We start from the raw sequence: 8,209 nt of genomic DNA on the forward strand, positions 1-8,209 counted from the left end.
ACACAAAGATCACCAAAAAAGTCACCACAGAGGCCCCCCGCCGCTGGTTCTCATTTGCCCATATCAAAAAATATGCAAGTCTGTTCATACAAAGACACACACAGATGCTCGTAGCAAAACTATTCATAATTATCAAAAGGTGGCAACAACGCAAATGCCCATCAACAACAGATGAATAAGCAAACAAGTACAGTCCACCCGTGTGATGGAACATTAATCAGCCACAATATGGAATGAAGGGCTGATTCATGCTACAACCTGGATACACCTTGAAACCGTTAGGCTAAGTGAGAGAAGCCAGACAAATATTAGATTATATATACATATATATATATATATGTATATATATATATATGCCCAGAATATGAAAATCCAAAGAAACAGAAAGTAGATTAATGGTTGCCAGGAGCCAGGGGTGGGGATAGTCGGGGGAAATAAGGGGTGACTGCTAATGGATACAGGGTTTCTTCTGGGGTAATTAAAATTTCTAAAATTGATGGTGATGATGGCTGCAGAACTCTGTGAATATATTAAAAACCACTGAATTTTACACTTTATTTATTTATTTAGAGACAGGTTCTGGCTCTGTTGCCCAGGCTGGAGTGCAGTGGTGCAATCTCAACTCACTCCACCACCCACCTCCCGGGCTCAAACCATCCTCCCACTTCAGCCTCCTGAGTAGCTGGGACTACAGACACACACACCATGCCCAGCTAATTTTTTGTATTTTTGGTCGAGACAGGGTTTTGCCATGTTGCTAGGGGTTCATCTCAAACTCTTGGGTTCAAGCGATCCTCCCACCTCAGCCTCCCAAAGTGCTGGGATTGCAAGTGTGAGCCACCATGCCCGGCCAAATCATACACTTTAAATGGGTAAATTGTATGGTATATGAATTATCTTTCAATAAAGCTGTTATTAAAAAGCAGCTTTAAGGGCCAGACATAAGGGCCATGCCTGTAATCCTAGCATTTTGAGAGGCCAAGGCAGGAGGATCACTTGAGCCCAGGAGTTCAAGACCAGCCTAGACAACATGGCAAAACCTGGTCTCTACAAAAAATTTAAAACTTAGGCTTGGCGTGGTGGCTCACGCCTGTAATCCCAGCAATTTGGGAGGCTGAGGTAGGTGGATCACTTGAGGTCAGGAGTTCAAGAGCAGACTGGCCAACATGGTGAAACCCTGTCGCTACTAAAAATGTTTTTTAAAAATTAGCCAGGCATGGTGGTGGGTGCCGAGGCTGAGGCAGAAGAATCGCTTGAACCCGAGAGGTGGAGGTTACAGTAAGCCGAGATTACGCCACTGCACTCCAACCTGCTGGGCGACAGAGTGAAACTCCATTTCAAAAAAAAAAATTAAAAATTAAAAATTAGCCAGCGGTGGTGGCTCGTGTTTGTAGTCCCAGCTACTCAGGAGGCTAAAGTGGGAGGATTGCTTGAGCCCAGGAGGTTGAGGCTGCAGCGAGCCAAGATTGTGTCACTGCACTCTGGCCTCAGCAACAGAACAAGACCCTGTTGCACAATTTTAAAAACAATTAAAAAACGAGCCTAAAGAAAACACAAAAACCAATGCTAACTGTGAGACATAAATGAGGTGGTCTATTTTTTGTTAACTACCAACTAACAATTCATGGCAGAAACACAGTTTAAATGATGCTATAGCCGGGCGCTGTGGCTCACACCAGTAATCCCAACACTTTGGGAGGCTGAGGCAGGTGGATCACCTGAAGTCAGGAGTTTGAGACCAGCCCGGTCAACATGGTGAAACCCCGTCTCTACTAAAAATACAAAAATTAGCCAGGTGTGGTGCCGGGTGCCTATAATCCCAGCTACTCGGGAGGCTGAGACAGGAGAATCGCTTGAACCCCGGGGGGGCGGAGGTTGCAGTGAGCCAAGATCGCGCCATTGCTCTCCAGCCTGGGCGACAGAGCAAAACACTGTCTCAAAAAATAAATAAATAATGAAATAAGTGATGCTATAAACCTCATGTGAGGGAAGACTGTCCCAGGTACAGCTTGAAGAACCCTTGCTGTGAATAGGAGCCAAATGCGATCATTATGTTTGCAACTTGCTTGTTAGCTTGTTGCAACTCCACAGTGTAACAGAAAACTCATGAGGTTACTGTCTAATGTTGGTGGAAATATTCACATTAAAATACAACAGTTTATCACCTAAGGTATATTTTATCCCTCAAGTGGCCCGGAACACAGTGATTATTGCACCCCAATCGCACGCCCGTAGCTAAGGCCTTGCCAAGGAGAAATTCCACAATCACCTGGCCTATTTGTAAACCTGGTTTATGACATTTTGTAACAGGATATCTTGACAGTAGCATGAGGACATTTAACGAGACAAGAACATTCCCCACTGACAAAACAGATGGTTTCAGGGAACAGGATGCTGTGCTGAGTTTAATATTCTGCTGAACTGACCATTAGGGAGAAAATCCTTTGGGTCAATGCCTCTCACGGAATCCACTTATCAGATTCCTGTCCACCTGCCTGCTTTGCAGTGCAGAGTAAAGTGGGCCTTCCTTGACTCTCTTCAGGGACCAATGTGCTTGAGGCCATCATGAGGATATTCATTCTTTTTTTTTTTTTCTTGAGAGAGTCTCGCTCTGTCGCCCAGGCCGGAATGCAGTGGTGTGATCTCAGCTCCCCACTGCAACCTCTGCCTCCCAAGTTCAAGTGATTCTCCTGCCTCAGACTCCTGAGTAGCTGGGATTACAGACATGTATCACCCGGCCCAGCTAATTTTTCTATTTTTTGTAGAAACAAGGTTTCACCATGTTGGCCATGCTGGTGTCGAACTCCTGACTTCAAGTGATCCACCTGCCTCGGCCTCCCAAAGTGCTGGTATTACAGGTGTGAGGCAACGTGCCTGGCAGAGGGCTTTCATTCTTGATGGACTGCTCCATAGCCTCAGAGACAGTCGGACTTGTTTCTTCACCCAGAGCGGAGCAGACAGGCAATTTCTGTATCCACCAGGACAAATATTAGACCAACTCTTCAGTGTACAGAGAGCATCACATTTCTTATATGCTAGAATATCTGTTGGTCCAAAATATAAATAAATAGTATTGTAGCCAGCCACAGTGGCTCACACCTATAACTCCAGAGCTTTGTGGGGCTGAGGCAGGAGGTTCACTTGAGGTCAAGAGTTCGAGACCAGCCCGGGCAACATAGAGAGACACCCCCACACAGCCACCTGCCATCTCTACAAAAATTAAAATAATTAGCTGGGCATAGTAGTGTGGGCCTGTAGTCCCAACTACTTGGGAAGCTGATGTGGGTGGATCGCTTGAGCCCAGGAATTTGAGGCTGCAGTGGGCTATGACTGCATCACTGTACTCCAGCTAGACCTTGTCTCAAAAAAAAAAAAAAAAGTGCTGCAATTGACATTACTTTATCATTTGAAAAGAGGGACAGACAAGAAAGGTATTTGGCATTTACCAAGCAATTACCCAGAATCCTCATCCCATCCTACCCCACCCTTCCCCTAAAAATGTATGTATATGTTTTATACCATAAAAAATACATCTATTTGGCTCTGGAACCAGATTGCTTGGGTTCAATTACCTGATCTAGCATTTGCTCCTGATGACTCAGTGCAGAAAAGCTCTGTAACTCAGTTTCCCCAGCTGTAAAATGGGGAATGGCGACTTTACTGGGCTGCCATGAGGGTAAAGGAGGGAACGTATATTTATGAAGCATTCAGAGCAATTCATGATACATAGTAAGCTCTATATATTTGAGCTTATTATTACTGTCAGTACGATTTTCATCATCTTGCTGTTTCCAATGGGTACGATTTCTACATTCTCTTTCTTAAAGACCTTTAAATCCTTGGTATTCTCTCCACCACCACAGACAGCAGTGTCCATGTAGTTTAAATTTTCAAAGACTTCATGGATCCAATAAACATGACATTAACTAAGGGACAGTTTTCTTTCAGTGGATTGGAACCTAAAATGGCTTTTTTATTGTTATTATTGGCCAGGCTGGTCTCGAACTCCTGACTTCAAGTGATCCCCCCACCTCACCCTCCCAAAGTGTGCTGAGATTACAGGCATGAGCCACCATCCCCAGCCCTCATTCTCTTCTTTTATAAGGACACCAGTCACTGCATCTGCCCCCTCACCAGCAGCCCCCAATCCAGGATGACTCATCGTTACTTGATTACATTTAGAAAGACCACATTTCCAAATAAGGTCACATTCCTGGGTACTGAGGATTAAGATTTCAAATTTTTTCCCTGACTCAATTTTTTTTTGAGTCAGGGCCTCACCCTGTCACCCAGGCTGGAGTACAGTTATGTGATTATAGCTCACTGCAGCCTCAAACTCCTGGGCTCAAGGGATCCCCTGACCTCAGCCTTCCAAGTGTCTGAGACTACAGGTGCACACCATCATGCCCAACTAATTTTTTTGTTTTTTTTGTGTTGTTTTTTTTTTTTTGTACAGGTTAGGTCTCACTCTGTTGACCAGGCTGGTCTGACCTCAAGCGATCCTCTTGCCTTGGCCTCCCAAAGCACTGGGATTACAGGCGTTATCCCGTGCCTGACCCTCTTTCTACATCTCAATCATTGTATCATTAGCCTGAGCTGCGCATATTCCTTATTCTGCCCATCCCTGATCAATCTCCTCCTTTAACAGAACTTCCACCTCGATATGATGGGGCCTGCTGGGCACTGCAAACAGCCTAAGGAAAGTGGAAACTTTACTTAACCTTAAATTCTATTACAAAGTCTACATTGAACGTAATTTATATTTGAACTATAAAAATTTTCTGTAAGTTGACACATGACCTATAAAGGACTCTACACCCTGAAGCAACATTTTAGAAAGAAATCAATTGGTCCTTTTCTGCAGAAACCATTAACCATAGGAGAGATAAAGGAAAAACTTCAAAGTACTGATTGAACTTCCATGCCCATAGCTTAACTTCTAAAAGGCAACCATTCCATACTCTTAAACTGACTTAGGTTGCTATTACTGTTATTAAAGAGACCCTCAAAGCCAGAAGTTGAATCTTGACTGTAGCACTTGCACGTACACGCACACTCTTGCAACTGAAACCACTCAGATTGTCCTAATGCTGCTCCGCATAGCAACACCACCTGGAATTTTACGTTTGTTTTTAAGCGTCAGTCGTAATCTTCACTTGCACCCAAACACACCGCACCTGTGAGAGCCACGTGACATTAAAAAAATCCCTTCAGTGAGGCCGGGCGTGGTGGCTCACGCCTGTAATCCCAGCCCTTTGGGAGGCCAAGGCAGGTGGATCATGATGTCAAGAGATTGAGCCCATCCTGGCTAACATGGTAAAACCCTGTCTCTACTAAAAATACAAAAATTAGCTGGGCGTGGTGACGCGTGCCTGTAGTCCCAGCTACTCGAGAGGCTGAGGCAGGAGGATCGCTTGAGCCCGGGAGGCAGAGGTTGCCGTGAGCTGAGATCGCGCCGCTGCACTCCAGCCTGGCGACAGAGGGAGACTGTCTGAAACAAAAAAATCCCTTCAGTGCCTTGATCCTTCCAGATTCAAATCCAAGAGAGATGACATTTGTCCCTCTCCGGAGACTGCACACCAAGATAAAGATTTCTTCTGGCCAGGCGCGGTGGGTCACGCCTGTAATCCCAGCACTTTGGGAGGCAGAGGCGGGTGGATCACCTGAGGTCAGGAATTTGAGACCAGCCTGGCCAACGTGTTCAAACCCTGTCTCTACTAAAAATACAAAAGTGGCCCGGCATAGTGGCTCATGCCTGTAATCCCAGCTACTCAGGAGGCTGAGGCAGGAGAATCGCTTGAACCTGGGAGGTGGAGGTTGCAGTGAGCCGAGATCGCGCCATTGCACTCCAGCCTGGGCAACAAGAGAGCAAAACTCCGTCTCCAAAAAAAAAAAAAAAAAGAAAAAAAGATTTCTTCTGTGTGCATGGCTCAGGTCTGTGGTCCACTAGCGTCCTTCTTCAATCCGCTTCCAATCTATGGAATCAGGAAAGACTGAACGAACCTAGATTAATATTTTAGTATAACATAATACAGTGTTACTTACTATGGCATTGACCGTATATGCCCTTTTTCTCCTTGGAGGAAGACAATTAATAGCTATTATGTGAGTTAATAAAATAAGCCCAGGATTTATAACTAACCTGTTCCCATTGATTTTCCTTGTCTCATGCAGGCACAGAGCTGATCAAAACAGCAAAAGCAAAGCAGTGCCTCTGGCCCAGTTCTGAAGCCAACCTTCCTTAATCACCCAGACCCATCCCTGGTTAGGACTTGCTGTGGATCCTCAGGTGACTCCATCTCAGGATACAGGGACTGAGAGTGTGTATGCAACTTCTCAGACCCAGAAACCGTTGATTCTGCCTAAAAACACAGCAATAACCACATCCCACCCTCTTGATTTAAATGAAAGGGTTTGGGGGAATAAAAGATGAACTTCTTTTTTTCTTTGTCAGATCTTGCGCTCATTTGGTTCTGGTGGGGAACAACAGCTATAAGAGAACAAGTGTATTCAATTAGAATTAATTCCCCCTCTCTTATTCTCATAGCTGAGCAGGGCTCAAGTGCCTCTCATCTGAAAGAGGTAATAAGATTTTATCTGTCTCCTCATCTACCTTCTGCAAGTATACTTAACAAATTAGCTCTCGGGACTCTTCCAAATGGAGTTTTATGAGGAATTTGCTACGGTAAACGTTTTAGACTTTGTACACAGTTCAGATTTCAGGGGCAGTACTGAAATCTGAACTGTGTTGCTAACTGTCCTGCCTTTCAACTCAAGACACAATAACTTTGAACTAAAATAATTATATTTTTGTTGTTTTCCAGTCTGTCCCCACGTCTATATCACCACCACCCCCAATCCCACCCCGCAGGAGCTAACTCCTCCTTCCTGTCCCTGCAAGATCAAAACTCCTCCTGCAAGCCCCGCTAGCTCTGTCTGCTCACCTTCGTGGCAGATATCGCTATTGTACTTTTATACTCATTTGTGTGATAAATACTTCAATGTCCACTTCTTCCACGAGCCCCTGAGCCCCTGGAGGACATGGACCACACCTAGTTTTTCTCACCGTTACATCTCCCTTGTCAGGCACATGGTAGGCGCTTAATAAGTATTTGGTGAACGAATGGCTTGTTTGGTGACAGTCCAAAGGCTGGGGGACAGAGGGAAAGCTCCCTCCTTTCGGGCCCCAGACTGGTGGCGCTGATACAGAGGAGGCTAGGATAAGGCCTCCAGGACCAAAGCGCGAACCCGTAAGGCCCCTGCTAAAAAGACTTTCCTGAAGGCGGAGGAACTGCGAGAGTGCCTACGTTAGCCCAAGGCCTGACCTGACGATCCCAGGGACCCTCGCCCTAACTGGCCCCGCCTTCCGGGCCCCAAACCCGGACTCGGCCCCGCCCGAAGCTCCGGATCCTGGGGCCCGCCCCTGGTCCCGCGTCGGCGGACCGTGGGCTCGCTCCTGGACCTGCCTCAAACCCTCCGCAGGTAACGCCTCCCGAACTTGAGCCACATTCCGATCCCCTCCTCAAACCCCTCCCCGTTTCCCACGCCCTGGACCCCTCGCTCCGTCTCGGCCCCGCCCCAAGCCCAGCTAGGTCTCGGCCCCTGAGCCCAGCCCCGACCGGCCTCCCAGTCCCTGGGTCCCTCCCGACACCGGCCCCTCCCTAAGCTCCGCCTCCCAGGGCCCGCCTCCTGAGCGCAGCCTGCAGCCCGGACTCGGCCCCGCCTCCCGGACCCTGGACCCCTCCCCAAGTGGGCCCGTCCTAAGTTCCGCCTCCCAGAGTCCGCGCACCGCCTGGCCATGTGGTACGACATAGTCAACGCCCTGCCCCGGCCCCGCCTCCTGAGCCCTTCTCTGGGTCTGGCCTTAGCCCCGCCCTAGGACCTGTCTCCTGGGCTCTGCTCCGAGTCCCGCCTCCTGAACCCAATGGCGTTTATCCCCGCCCTAATGCCCGCCTCCAGGACTCTTATCCTGCCCCCACGCAAGGCAGCGCCTCCAGGACGCGACCAACCTGGACGCTTCCGAAGACCAGCTTCCAGGATCGCCCTATGCTGACCCCGCCCCAGGACCCGCCAACCTGGACTCTACCCAGCACCTGCCCCAACGACGCTTATCCTGGCCCTACCCCAGGCCTCGCCCTCATGACGCTCATCCTGGCCCCACCCCAGGCCCCGCCCTCCTATAAGCTCATCTTGGCCCCGCCCTAGAGTC

General features: G+C 48.0%; 1 long non-coding RNA gene across 1 annotated transcript in view, besides 2 other annotated features; it reads right to left on the minus strand.

Annotated features, from left to right (window-relative positions):
* FAM85B (family with sequence similarity 85 member B) overlaps positions 1 to 7,250 on the minus strand; it is a 126,742-nt gene extending 119,492 nt beyond the window's left edge. Inside the window, exon 1 of the long non-coding RNA NR_147089.1 lies at positions 7,067 to 7,250. This is a non-coding gene — a long non-coding RNA (family with sequence similarity 85 member B). The remainder of the gene's footprint in view (positions 1 to 7,066) is intronic.
* Positions 7,362 to 7,851: a silencer, noted in NCBI's record as "silent region_18891". NCBI's record gives its function as "represses an Ori minimal core promoter by ATAC-STARR-seq in GM12878 lymphoblastoid cells {active_cell/tissue: GM12878}" and the evidence as "EXISTENCE:reporter gene assay evidence [ECO:0000049][PMID:35858748]".
* Positions 7,942 to 8,091: an enhancer, noted in NCBI's record as "active region_26962". NCBI's record gives its function as "activates an Ori minimal core promoter by ATAC-STARR-seq in GM12878 lymphoblastoid cells {active_cell/tissue: GM12878}" and the evidence as "EXISTENCE:reporter gene assay evidence [ECO:0000049][PMID:35858748]".

Source organism: Homo sapiens, chromosome 8 (assembly GCF_000001405.40).
Source record: "Homo sapiens chromosome 8, GRCh38.p14 Primary Assembly".
NCBI lineage: Eukaryota > Metazoa > Chordata > Mammalia > Primates > Hominidae > Homo > Homo sapiens.